Consider the following 14,987-nt stretch of genomic DNA (forward strand, 5'->3'; position numbering starts at 1 on the left):
TTTGACAAAGGTGCAAAGATCATACTTTAGAAAGAGATTGTCTTTTCAACAAATCAGGGTGGAACAAATGGATATTTATATGCAAAAATAAAATGATGTACTTGGATCCATAACTCTAATTAGCTAAAAATGTATTATAAACTTAAATGTGCAACTTAAAGTTTTAAAACTTCCTGAAGTAAACACAGAAAAAAGCCTTTGTGATCCTGGCTTACGGGACAGTTTCTTAAACATGACAGCAAAAGCACAATCAGGAAAAGTTAATAAATTCAACTTCATCAAAGTTAAAAACTTTTGCTGTTTTAAAAACTGGGAGAAAATATTTTTAAATCTTATCCCTGATAAAGGCTCATACCGAAAATATATACAGAACTCTGAGAAAATTGTAAGAAGAAAACAAAAAATGTTATTTTTTAAAATAAACAAAATATTTAAGGAGGTACTTCAAAAAAGATATGCGGATGATAAATAAACACATGAAAAATGCTCTGCATCATTAGTTATTATGAAAATAAAATTTTTTAATGTATTTCTACATGCTTATTAGAAATGCTAATATTAAAAGGACTTATCATTTCCAGTGTTGTATGGATATGGAGCAAGTAGAACTCTCATACACCATCGGTAGAAGTCTAAAATGGTATTACCACCTTAAAAAATAATTTAGTATTTTCTGAAGAGTTAAACATACATCTACCATTTAGTTTAGCCATTCTGCCTCTTGGTATTTATGCTAGGAAAAATAAAAGCATATGTCCATACAAAGATTTGTACATCAATCTTCACAAAAGCTCTATTTTTAAGAGCCCAAAATGTGAAACAACCCAAATATCCATCAACAGGTGATTGGATAAAAAAATTGTGGTATAGCTATATTATAAAATACCATTCCACAATAAAAATGAGTAAACAATTGATAAATACAACACCTACATAAATAGCAGCATAATTATACCGACTGAAGGAAGTTAGATGAGGAAGAGTTCCTACTATATAATTCTATTTAGATAAAACTCTAAAAATTAAAAAGTAATTAATAGTGAAAAAAAAACAGACCAGTGATTGCTTGGGAATGATATGAGCGTAGAGGAGAAGAATTATAAAAGGGCATGAGGAAACTTTTAAGGGTGATAGATATGTTTCTTATCGTGATTGAGGTGATAGTTTAATGGATTCATACAAATGCCAAACTGCATACTTGAAATATGTGCAGGTTTATTGTATGTCAATTGTATAAAGCTGTCAGTCTAAACAAAATACAAAAAATCTATGTAGTGAAATGTTACCCTCCTATCTTTTTCTCTTAGCAACCGTTCCTTTCTCCTGAAGTAACCATTATTACCAGTTTCTCAATGTTTCTTTGTATCTGTTTCTTCTCTGTTTTGGTCTCTTTTATTTTAAGATCTTCAAATGTCAAGTGATTCCTAATCATTTATTCATATTGAAAGTCCAGCAGACATAGACACAGTTTGAGAAATGGTGAAATTTTCTTTAGGCTATTTGGTCAGAGATACTGTTTTTATTTGTTTGTTTTTGTTTTTTTAGTAAATCTCAGCTTTTTCTTATGAGAAATCCCATTGTCTTTGGCTGGTGAGTATATCTAGAAAGCAACACTCAAATCTTACATCTGTAGTGTGCAGGGATAGCTGTCAATGGCTTTGTAGAAAACATGTAGATGTTATTGTTCATGGCAAGGTAATATGTTCCAGAGTATTCTGCAAATAAGGCAATGGGACACAGGAAATATGTAGCTTATAAAGTTTTTTAGGCAATTTGACAATGCTTAACATCCTATATCAAAAAAGTTACTATGACTTAAAAATATGAAAATTATACATTAAATTGGTCATATCAATGCTTTCAAACTAACTACCTTAGAAACACAGACTCTTAATCCAAAGGGCGGGTATTAGAAAAATTTCTGAAGCTCCTTTTGGACTTGCATTTGGACCAAAAAATACTTCTTAGGAATATTCTTAATGCCCTAAAAATGACTCGTTTTGAGAAACAGGAAAAGGAGAATTAGACGAACATGAACATGATCAAGCTGAGACTACAACTGTGACCTCGAAACAGGTGTCCTTTGAAAGTACTGGTAATTAAACACCGGTTCTGAAGAAAATTTTAAAAGAGAAATTTCAAATGCCTGTTGAATGTTGACAACCTCATTAGAATAGATATATCTACTCCCAGGATGACTACTTTGAAAGACAGCTCTCACTCAGATGTATAAATTTACATGTGCCAGCATGGGTGGGAGTAATTAGGAGGTTCAATTTATTTCTTTACAGATATACTTTGGATAAGTATATCAGGTGAGGTCAAGAAAGTTGCCCATTACTCACCTGCAAAAGCCTATTAAGCTGGACTACCTCCTGAAGATGTGTGGCCGATGACAGCAGAAGACAAGAAGGCTACAGTTTTGATAAATACCCCAAGGGTCTGCAAAATGGCAGTGCTGGGAGGCATGTGCCAAATCATGTTTGGCTTTGGCCCTATAACTTGTGAGTCTGTCAAGGACTCATCAGGTCAATTGGTGGAAAATGGATTACTGTCATTCTTCAAGGCACGGCACATCATTCCCCATTGATTGGCATGCCAAATCCTTCACAAAGTAATGAGTCAGGACGATTCAAATCATCATCCAACTGTCAGCTTGATTGCATAGCCCTCTATCAATGGGATTAAACTGGTGTGGCATCCAAAATGTAATGAAATGCATTACTTTACTTGAAAAGTTGACAAGAAGACAGGGATGCTGGACCCAGGAGGCCTAGGCATACGGAAAAAAATAATAATCATAAAAGTGGGGGAGTGAATTGATAGATAATAAAAATATTTTTTTTCAGCCTCACAGGAGATGCTGTGACTAAAGGGAATTACTTTTCTCTTCAACGAGTGTTTAAACTGAAAGGACATTGTAGAAAGGACATTGTAGAAATCATCTAGTTGGTGCGTTTTCTTTAACAACAACAAAAAACAAACTCAAGTAAAGTGAGTCACTAATGTTAGTTAATGTGAAGAGAATGGGGATACAATAGAAATCATGTTCTTTGGAGGAAAAAAAAATAACGTGGTTTTCGATCCTGATTCTTCAACCTACTAATTGTGTCATCATGGGAAAATTCCTTAGCCTTTGTCTCCTCACCTTCAAAATGGGGATAATTATACTACATATATCACATACATCAATATCCATTGATAAATGCCAATCACATATATCATATTACATGTATATAATATATTTCATATATATCACAGTTAAGGAAGGATTAGGGGAACAAAACTATATGTAAAATAACTCTTACATAGCAGCTATGTTCCTTACTAAAATTGAGACAATTAGGATATCATATCAGTGTTTGCCAAGAAAAAATGCTGCTGTGTGCTTAGTATGTAGCATACACACACACACACACACACATACACACAAATCTACTGTAAAGACTCAAGCTGAATTTCTTATTTTTCTTCGGCCTTAGTGATCCCCATCACTTTATCTCAGAAAAAGGACCATCCCCTGGACAAACATAACTCGCTAACGTTACTTTGGTTAATGCAGTTTAGGGAAATCATAAATCTTGCTAAGGTCATATACCCAGTAAGGGGTAGGGTTTTATTGGTGTGGCTCCAAAGCCATGGGCTGTTTTGCTCCTTGTGGTGATAATGTTTCCGGTTCTTCAGCAGCAGAGAATATTCTTCCAGTTTTTTTTTTTTTTTTAGCTGTAGCACTGGTAGCATGCTGGATCAAATATATAGTGCTGTCTTCTTACAGTGGGTTGTGTTGCAAGAGGGTTGCCTTGCATATAGTCACTTAGGTGATTAAGTGAAACTTGTCCACACATTGCTCCAACAACATTTGTTAAGGTACATTAAACTTATTAAAATTACATTATTTTAGATTTTAGAAAAAAATTGTTTTGGGGTAGGGTTTATGACTTCTCCATCTTTATTAGCTAAAGGAATTATTTGACAACATAAAAAACTAAGTATTTGAGAAATTGTTGGGATATCGGGTCCTGAAAAGGGAGGTATCATTTTAGGGACAAAATCTCTTCCCAGTGTGGAGGCATCAAGATCAGGGTTGAAGATGTGATTCTAAGTGAACTATATTTAGACATCTATTTCATTGTTAGAAGTTTCACTATATTTTCTGCCAGATTCTTTACATATGGATTCTGTGCAAAGTTATGGAAATTGTATATTTAGAGTGGCACTGACAATTCATGGTGCATACTAAGAAGGGAAAGTGGCCTTTGATCAAGCAAGTTGAAAAAATATTGCACACTATATCCCTTATAGCCCCAAAACTTACTAACATATTCAAGGGTCTAAGAAGTCTTGTTGTGAAGAAACCTGTTTAACTTTATCTCTCCAGCATTTTGACAGCTTCTTTGACAAAAGAAGTTCTTCATGTATAGTATCCACCATAGCACCTAGAACAGAGCCTGACTAGGAAGGGCTCAAGAAATACCTGGGATAAGAACGTTGAGGAAGTTCACAGTATATTCATGTCTAACAGTTATTATACAGAAAAAGTCGGTTTGATGGTTATATATTGTACTCTGGCAGGCACTGGGGAAAGAGTATAACACAATAAATATAAGATATGCATTGGCCTTAAAGGAGTTTAAAGTTTAGTGGATGAGACAGAAATGTTCATAAATTACAAAATGGAGGCAGCCCCACATAAATATTTAGAACAATGATTTTGGTCTCGGACAGAGCTGGGTTCAAGTTTTGATGTTGCCACTTGTTGGCTGGATGATCAAAAGTAAGTTATTTAATCACTCGAAAGCTTCAGTCTTCCAACCAGGAAAATGAAGATAACAGTGTCACGTATCTCACATGAACATTATTTGATGTAATGTTGTAATGTATGAGAAGGAAAAGAACGGTATCTTGTTCCACTATTCCCAGAACCATCTAATGTTGAGCTTAAATATTTGTTTAGTGAATTAATGATGACTTAATTAATTATATATTTAAAATTTCTATCTAGCACAGTGCCTTATACGGAGTAGGTACCTAAGAAAGTATTACTGAATAAATAAAACAATGAATCAGAGGGATTTTCGAAGCTCAGCTTGCACTTTCTCCTGTGTACATAACTTTCCTGCCCTGCCATTGCATTTGTACCCATATAAGGGTACATTTATAAATATTCACCATTTTCTATGCTCTCTGTGGCAGCTTTGTAATGTGCCAACTTGGATAGGCTGAACTTCATTTGCCATAAATAGTTTTCTCGTATGTCTCTGGTTAGAGTGAGCCAAAAGAAACGTTCTTTCTTTTTCTTCTTCTACTTTTTTTTTTAAGTGGAGGGGGCAATATTTCAGTGTGAAAGTAAAGGAGTAGCTACTTTGTACCTTATCCATGTTGTCACTTACTTTCTGGCTCTTCCCCGGATATAGGGTAGCAGACAGGCCTGCAGCTGCTTCATCTTCCCCTGGATTCTCCTTCCCTTTGTCTGACTCCTGTCCAGATATTCATTTAGCTTCACGATGGATACCAACTTGACCGTCCCTATCAAGGTTAAAAGCAGCAAACATTGACATGAGTTTCAGTCTACTCCTGTGGGTTCCAGTTCAAATTGCATAAAATATTTCTAAACAGCCCGTGTTTTCCCTTTAGTTAGGAAAATGTAAGGAAAAGTCTTCGTTTCATATGAATGTGATTAGGTTCTTTAGGGCTAACTGGAGGGGCAACAGGGCAGTGTAAAGCTCGGCCCCAGACATGGGATATGGGGTCTATTCCCAGCTCTCAATGTATCAGCCCTTGGGGCATGAGTAAATCAGTAATTTTGTGAGTTTCAGATTCTACTTTATTCAATGGATGGTGTCCATTCTTCTCCTGCTTATACAGCTACTGTAGAGATTAGCTATTATTACACGTAAAACCAATACACCTTGAAAAAATATATAAATCTCTAGTGTTTACAAATATTCAAGATTATTTTGGCACTATTGCTATTATTCTTTCAAATCTATCATGTAGTAAGAACTTACTTTATAGCATGCACCATGCTGAGAGCACTTTTCATTTTTCCATTTATTCCCTGTAGAATAGGTCTTATTGTCCCAATTACACATGTAAGAAAATGTTAGAAATTTGACTACCAACCCAGAGTTTATAGCCTACCCTATCTGCATAGCCAGAGTGCCTAGGCATTTCTTTATAACAAGCAGAACACATAGAAAAATTGAACAGATTTTGTTATTATCTGAATTATCTGCATTAGTTGTTACAATAGTTGTGCTATGTGAAGTTGCTTACAAAACCTTTTATGAAATTTATAATGATGCAATACTGAATTTGAAAATTATTGCATATCACAAGATAGACAATTCAACTTCAGACAATGAAAATTGCCAAATCACTTGACTTACATCAGAAGTTTTTCAGATTTAGGAAAGGTTACTGTGAACTGACAAAGTATTTTAAAGAACTCTCCCTGAGGCATTAACCATCTATCAATCAAAAACTTTCAGTTGATATTTAAGAGTAGCTATTTAACTTCAAGTAGTATTATTTTAATTAGAGAAAATTGAAAGTGAACATTTAAATATGGTAAATAGTAAATGTGCATTAAATCATTTGATATGTCTTTAAAAATGATAATAAGATTAATATTTTAAGTTTGGGTTTTGGAAATTAGCTTGTCATATTGATAGCATATTTGCAATTGACCAGAAGTGCTTCAGAAAAATATTAAGAATCAGAATGTGAAAAAGGCTTACATTCTGTTTGAGATAATGAGGAAAAAGCTATTTGTGTAAAAAATAGACTCTTCTGTGTGAATATGGGTATGTGTAGTGTGTGTATATTCTGAAGATATGCAGTGTGTGTGTGTTTATGTATTTTACAGAAAAACTATTATCAAATCAATATGTGTTTTATTATCAATGGTAACAGAGTTGAGGGAATTTGGTACATGTGTTTAAGCTGTTGTTAATTTTAAATCTTGCAAGTTGGAGCCAAGACTACAGATAGGTAAAAATATTCCAGGTAGGCAGTTCAAAGAAATTAACAATGTGGATTATTGTAAGCAGCTCAATCTGGTAAAAGGTCTACTTCATTTTTAATATGAGGTCTAAGATTTCATAAAATTTAAGTTAACTAAATTGTCAATAAGTTAGCTCCATAAATGATGAATCTAAAAGTAGAACAATGATCTTTGATATTGAAGGAGAGATAAAGGTAGGAGCTAAAGGGAGTAGGCTGAAATCATTAATTTTTTAAGATATTTAAATAAGTGCCCTGTTTTAGTAATAAAATAAAACCACAACTCTAGAAAAATTAGTAAATAAAAATGTTGGGAAGTAATTGTAACCATTGGAAGAGTGAGTTATAGCCTAGGAAGATAAGTAAATATGTGAATTGGAAGCCTACATAGAAAGAGAAACCAAAATCGAAAATTAGTATACAAAAACAAAAAGAAAAATATTAAGTATAAGTTAACACAAAAATGCAACAAATTATATATAGCACACAACAGTTGTTTAGACAATTCCTTTGTTAAAGTTCATGACTTGATAGCAAAAATAGGGGAAATAATGTATATACATATAAAATAAGACACATTTTAGGAAAAGCAATCTAGAGTAAGATGAAATAAATAGATTCCTAATCAAAAATAGAATATTTCACACATATATCTAATACATAAATAAATTCTCGTGAAATTATGCTGTGACTGAGCAGTTATTAGTCTTTAGGGCAAGTAGGTATATGTTCTACATTACACAACACCGGTGTATACAGTTATGGTAATACAGAATGTACACGAGTAAAATTATGATAATGTAAATATTGAAGTAGCCAACAGGAAGAAGTCAAGTGAATGGAAAGCTCAGTCCTAATCTGTGATTGAATTCTAAGAACTAAAATATGTGTTTGGAAGTATGCTGCCTGCATTGTACAAGTTCCGTACCTTGTTATTTTCTCTTTGGTATAACAATATATTCTCCATTGCATATGGTAGAACTTCCTCTGATTGTTTATAAACATTATCTTTCCAAACAAAGATTAGAAACTTTCTGGTGACTGAGAGCTTGGAGCCAGGACTAGAGAAAGTTCCATCCAGAATCAAATTTTTTGCCCATAGGGATTTGGGCTCCAATTCAAAGTAAGATGAGTTTGGAGACATGAAACACCACTTGCCGTTAGTGCCAGTATAAGGTCTGGTGAGAAAAATGAAATATCTACTCCCATTTTATCTTTTCGGTCTACCTTTTTAAAATATTTTTCCTCTTTCTAATTTCGAAGTCTCTTCCCTCAAACACTTCTTAGCAAAGTTTCTCATATTAGAAAAATATACATAATTATTACCTTAAATTATGATAATAAAGCTCTCAAGTGGGATTTTTAACATTTTTCTAATTACAAAATTAAACTTTCCTTGTGAAAAGATCTCATCCATCACCAGCAAAAACTTGAGGTTTTACCGGAGAGAATAAGGGCTTTACATTGCCCAAGAAATCTTCGCATTTGAACCACACTAAAGAACTCTCGGATTCTCCAACCACTCCTTGATCCATTAGACATTGTTCTACAATACAAATGGCTACATGGCTAAAAGTTCCGTGCCACAGTGGCACAAGAGCCATGTGCAAGGAGCATCCTTGAAACTCAGGTTTAAATGTTGCTAGTTTGGTGTGCCTGACGAATTTTTGAATTCAATCAAATACTATTTGTAGATCAGTCAAAATGTGAAATACATAGAAGGGCTTCCAATTAACATTAATTCCTTTACACCCTGATCTCCCCGAGTCTGCAGAGGCCTTTCCACTGCACAGAAGCATGGTCCAAACAGCCTGGTAGTCTGGCTGCCTTTTTTTTTTTTTTTAACCGATATTTTAAACCTATTATTTGACCTGTCTCCTTAAGGTTCTTCTTCCTGTGACAGAAAATATATGAGTAACTATTTTCAGGCCAGGCATTATGGGTAAAAATGGTTTAATAAACCTCACCCTGATAATAATTTCCAGCCCAATAATAGAATAAAAGGGGGAAAATACATTAGCTGTATGTAATTTGAGAATTTATTTTAGGGCAGAGTTTCATGCAAATCCTACCATATAGTCAGATATTTACATTGCTTATGTTTAAAGTTGGGTTAGGTTACATGTGCATACATAACCAAAGCATACTCTTCAAAGTCACTTTGTATGTCCACAGCTGAAAAAAAAATCCCTCTTTCCTTTGCCTGATGGATAAGAAACAGTGTGCTACATTTTTCTTAACTAAGGGTCTCACACATTGGCAATTTTGTCAACCTAGATGTAAACACCACTGCCACGTCCGAATCATAATAAATTTTGTTTACTGTAGTTAGACATTGGGTTTGCTTACATTTTAGTTAAAACAGCCGAAGATTTATCCTTCTGTCAGAGCCACTGGAAAATTGAGAGTCTTGTGCAAGTTGTAAGCTTTCTGCTTAATCTTCTGGAAACTTTTCCAATTTTCCTTTAATAACACCAGGAGGCCAGTGGTGTGCCACTTATGGATGGAGGGGGAGGAGTTCTCCATCCTGAGTTTCCCTCCTTTGCTCAGCTGACAGGCTCCACAGAAATGAAATGCAGTAATATACATTAGCACTAACTTATACACCAAGCTGTCACCATCAGGTAAAATTGATCACAAATTACTGATTACTGAATCAAGAAAGTCATCAGTTATATTGTACTTGATTACTTTCTCATAAGAGGAATATATTACTGAATATGCTAAGATTACTCATGCATAAGAATTTGGAACTGACACTCCAGCAGCCCACACTCAGGAGGGAAGAAGAATTGTGCTGAGAAATTAGACTCTAAGTTCTATATAAAAATTATTTTAAACTGGTTCTTAAATTATGGCCAAGACCATAATGTCTCCTTGAATAATTTTCAACTCTTTTACACGGTGAAAGCTTCTTCATCACACATTCTTCTAGGATGTACCATGGTCACGCTCATCAGCTACCCTCCTTGGTAGGAAGCACTCTGATATTGGTCAAGTTTACAGAATTAAGCCAATAGAGTTTATGGAAATTTTTCTAGGACAAGGTAAGAAATAAAACATCCTTTTCTTTGTGATGTATTTTCTCCTTGAAGACCTGTTTTGAGCTTGAGCTTAGCCAAAAGGCCAAGAAGCAATTGAAGAATGTTTCGATTTGTCTTACTCTTCTCTCTCCTCTCCTTTGCTGTTATCACTTTAAGAGTTACTGAAAACTGCCTCTCATCAAAAAGAGGCCCTTCTGCCCTTGGAAAACCATATGGGCCAGACGAGAGTCCTAAGACAGATCTTAAGCAAAATATGTGAAAGAGATATTAGCATTCATACATTGCCTAATTAACTCACCTGGAACATGAAGCTGAAGCTTTCTTTTTCGACAAAGAGCACGCATTTGCCCATATAGAGATAATTTTATCATTGTCAACTGAGAGCAGCTGATTGAAATTCAGTCTCTGTGAAAGGAGGCTGAACATACAAAAGAAATATAAAGTTAGGTTGACATCTTACACTACACCAAAATAAAATTCAGATGGGTACAGCATGGGTTTTCCAAATAAACTCTGGCAAGGTTTTTTTCCCAAACTGGGATATGCAGAGAGTCTCAGGGAAAAACAGCAGTGTAGACAGAAGCATGAGAAATCAAAGAAAAAGCTGAAAATATCTTCCTAGATTGTTTATTTTTTGCTAATTTGGTATACTCACAGTCTGAAAACATTTAGGCCAATGTCTTATTTTTCTTTAAGTTCAGGGAGCATTATGCTTTTACATTCAGGGAGTGTTTTACAATATTTTGTGTGTGTGTGTGTGTGTGTGTGTGTGTGTGTGTGTGTGTTATGTGCCTGTCAGCCCCATCGTCTTCACCATGTCATCAGCACAGTTGGTGCTGCATGAATACAGCTTGTTCTGCTGGGTTAACAGCACTCACTCCACTCCTGGTGGTAGTCTGCCAGTGATACTTAGTTACTAGTGGTGGTCAGTTGGAGTCAACAAGGACTGGAAGCTAAACAGGAGGGAGAAGATTAGGAAGCCTGTCTTCATCCACTGGTATAAGTCTGGATGTACCCACAGCTATTGACCACATTTTTCATTGTCTATGCCCAAATTTTGTCAGTTTCCCCCAGCCAGTGTTACCTTATCCCCAGCATTCTAACTGCATTGCAAGTTAGCACTCAAAGCTAGTTTCCAACTGAATGGGCTTACTGCCTATAGATTCCTGATACAATTCCATCCATATGTTTGGATTTCTTTGAATAAAGATACCAGCCATAAACAAACCCAAGTCAATACTTGGTTTCAGAATATGGGTATTTGCAAAGGGCTGAATGCGGTGGCTCATGCCTGTAATCCCAGCACATTGGGAGGCCGAGGCAGGCGGAACACTTGAGGCCAGGAGTTTGAGACCAACTAAAAATAACATAAATTAGCTGGACATAGTGGTACACACCTGTAATCCCAGCTACTCAGGAGGCTGAGGCATGAGAATCACTTGAACGTGGGAGGCTGAGGTTGCAGTGAGCCAAGATCATGCCATTGCACTCCAGCCTGGGTAACAGAGTGAGATCCTATCTCAAGGAAAATAATAATAATAATAATAATAATAATAATAATAATGATAAATAGAAAATGGGCATTTGGCTAACAGAGTCTCCCTATTGGCTTCAGGTTTAGCACCATCTCCTTACGAATCATTACAGCACACTCTGTTCTGACTGAGAAACAAATGTCCAGTACAACTGAGAATCTTACAACTTTGATATTTGTGAGAGCTAAAGAACACATCTTTTCAGAGAGAACAGAGTTCCTTTTTGGATCAAATGTCATGTGATATTACAAAGAGAAAAAATAATAATTGTAACTTAGTTGTTTATCTAATTATTTAATGGTAGAGTTTGAAAGAAGACTCATTGTAGTTCGGAATGTTGGACTGTCTCCTTGTGATTCATTATAAATATGTTCCAGACAGTGCTTTATGAAAAAAAATAATCCCAACCATTTAATCATCAAAGTTGGTTGTTTATAACAATAGGATATTTAATGCTATAGGACAGAAAACAAATGTCATGCAATGCAATTTTTTTTGTCTGAGCTTTAGTCTTCAGTAAAATCTAACAAATATTGGCATTATATGTCACTAAAAAGTAAAAGATCAGGCTCTGACCTTCAAGAATCCCCACAATATGTACATTATGTTGATGTGCCCTTTGTTTTTCTATTTTGGTTTGCTTTGGCGGCCTCTGCAATTTCAGGATAAGGGAAGATTGTCTTACCGAGTTTCCAATGTCATCATTTTAGCCAAGGAATTAACTGAAAGGGAAGTCTACTTCTTCCACTATTTATTTATTTTCTTCTGACACAGCTGGGAGTCAAGACATATTGAAAAAGGCATAAGCCACATATGGCTCAGATGCTCATTTAGGGTGAGCCCAAAGTGACTTCACAAAAGCAAGTGTAAACTTTTCCAAAACAGTTTGGTTTTAAATTGAAGTCTCTTGAGAAGGAGCCCATCTGAGAAGGTCAGAATTTGTGCTTCTCCCTTTTGAAAGACCTTCCACTCAGATGTCAAAAGTGTGCACCATCTTTAAGGTCCCAGTTACATTCCTCCTAATCCATGGAGACTTGCCCCCATCTCTGTTGCTGTATTCATACATCTCCACTTTCTTTAAACTCCTAAAGTTCTTATAATCTCTACTGTACATTTCATTATTTAATTATATATTTCTTGTTATTGCATCATTGGTTTTGCCTCTAGCTAGAGGTCAAGGAAATTAATCTGAATGACCACATCTCTTTCTTATTACATGAATGGAACATGGTATATATGCTCTTCATCCAATTCTTTTAATCGACTTATGACCTAACTGCAGATTGGGTTTAAAAGCAGACAGATAAGAAAATAAAATATAAATATTGTTAGGTCCCTGCTTTCTCTTACAAAGTTAGATAATTTTCTTTCTAATATTAATCATATATTTTTGCTTTTCAAAGCAATTTATATTCACTCTTATGATTGATCCTCATAATATCTCAAAGATAAACGGAATTGGTGTCCAAGTATATATGAGCATGTGTTCATACTAAGAGTAAGTGGCAGAGTCTAGAACTCAAGACTCGTAATTCCCAACTGATGTGCTTGACTCTAAATAACATTGGCATAGAGCCGGGTGCAGTGGCTCATTCCTGTGATCTCAGCTACTTGGGAGGCTGAGGAAGGAAGATAGCTTGAGCCCAGGAGTTCAAGTCTGCAGTGAGCTATGATTATGCCACTGTCCTTCAACCTGAATGACAGAGTGTGACCCTGTCTCTTTAAAAAAAGTAGTCCTGAGTAACAGTGGCATGACTTACTGCCCATTTAGGAAAAATTGTGCCTTAGGTTCTGCCAGATAATGGCATCATTAAGACAGTGTTACTAAAATGTAATGGAAAAAAAGAGTTTCCATTAAGTTTGGCAGACACCAGAAAATGTTCCCCTCAAATTCGTAACTGAAAAAGGAAATGGCTACACACAGGGTTAAAGTAGAATTACTGACAGAAAATTCAGTTGGGAGGCAGAAGTAAGAGAATTAGTCTCAATTCTGTACATCTCCACTCTGGGCCTCCATAATCTCAAAGAAAATAAGGAGTTAATTTCAAGCATCCCTTCTAGCCTAATACTTATGATTGACCTCTCTGTAACACTGATAATTAGGAGTAGCTTCTTTACTATTCAACTCTGTGATCCATGTCTACTCTATTATTTGGGCCTTGGCATGATACAATATTTGAGCAGAATTTGAATTGAGGCAGTATTTATTTTGAGTTCCCAGTATTGTTTACCTGGCTTATAGTTTAATTGCTTGGTTCATCTATTTATGCATATTTAAAGAGCTAACTGGTGATTATATTGTTTGTTTAAGAAGTCATGTTTCCTGGAGACATATGGCAAGTTCAATCTAGTGCTACTGAGAAAAAGAAATCCCCATTCCTCGTTAAAGTTTGACAGTGTCTTGATAAGTTGATATGTATTAAGTCCATATGCAATGCTCTATAACACTATCTGAGGCATGCTTAGAAATATAAATATAAGGAAAGGATCCTGCTCTCAAATGCTCAACAATCTTGCTAGGAAGTAAAACATATAGATGTGAGCAATTTTCTGGCAACTCAAAGAAGTAAATAATAAATAACAAATTATTGGTATGTTTACTGTCAAATCATGTGCTGATAAATGTTTAACAACTGACTCTTTGGCAGGGGCTGAGGCAGGGGTGGAATAACCAGATTAGCAGCATTTGCCAATTTTCATGGTGTAAATATTCCTACACTGGTCAATTTCAAGCCACCAACCTGAGGTCACTGGACAGAGTTGGGGACAGGTGCACACAACAGGCTCTGGCAATCCAATTCTAGCTGACTCCAGCATGCCAGCACGCTTGTAGAAGTTTTGATCAAGTAAAGATCTCAAGGGCCAAAGTGGTTAAGCCTCTTCTGTGGAGGAATGCCTCTCATATCCATATCTCTGAAGGACAATGGGATAAATAGGGGAGAGTTGATGTGAAAACATTCCTGAAAGAGATGATGTAAGCAATGGTCTAAGTGTCCTATGACCAAGAGAGCCTTCAAGAATAGAAATACGTCCATCAGAGCATTTACTGAGAATGATTTTAGATAGTATGTAAAAAAAAAAATAGGAAAGAACTCTTCAGTGATTCAGATTGTATCTTGTAAGTTTGCCTTTCCAAAGAAGTGAACGATATCTGTGTCAAGGAAGAAAAATGAATATTGAAAAATATCAAACCCATTTTAATTCAAAAATCAATTTGATGATTGCAACAATTGTTATTTAAAAATATTTTGAAGTGAAAAATACAAAATTTGTTTATAGACAGCTCTGCAGATCACAGGAAATCCCTGCAGCACAAAATTACTCTGGGAAAAGAAAATTTAAATCTTTCTTTAGCCAAAACACATTAAATTCTTACAGTAGTTATATTCAGTACCACATTGGA

At 35.3% G+C, this 14,987-nt stretch overlaps 1 long non-coding RNA gene across 1 annotated transcript in view; it reads right to left on the reverse strand.

Moving 5' to 3' along the window:
- Positions 1–9,648, reverse strand: part of KC6 (keratoconus gene 6) — a 40,407-nt gene extending 30,759 nt beyond the window's left edge. Inside the window, exons 1-2 of the long non-coding RNA NR_002838.2 lie at positions 9,355–9,648; positions 5,391–5,526 (exon numbers count right to left, since the gene is read on the reverse strand). This is a non-coding gene — a long non-coding RNA (keratoconus gene 6). The remainder of the gene's footprint in view (positions 1–5,390; positions 5,527–9,354) is intronic.
- Between the last annotated feature and the right edge of the window lie 5,339 nt (positions 9,649–14,987).

The sequence above is a fragment of the Homo sapiens genome, chromosome 18 (genome assembly GCF_000001405.40).
Source record: "Homo sapiens chromosome 18, GRCh38.p14 Primary Assembly".
NCBI classification, from domain to species: Eukaryota; Metazoa; Chordata; class Mammalia; order Primates; family Hominidae; genus Homo; species Homo sapiens.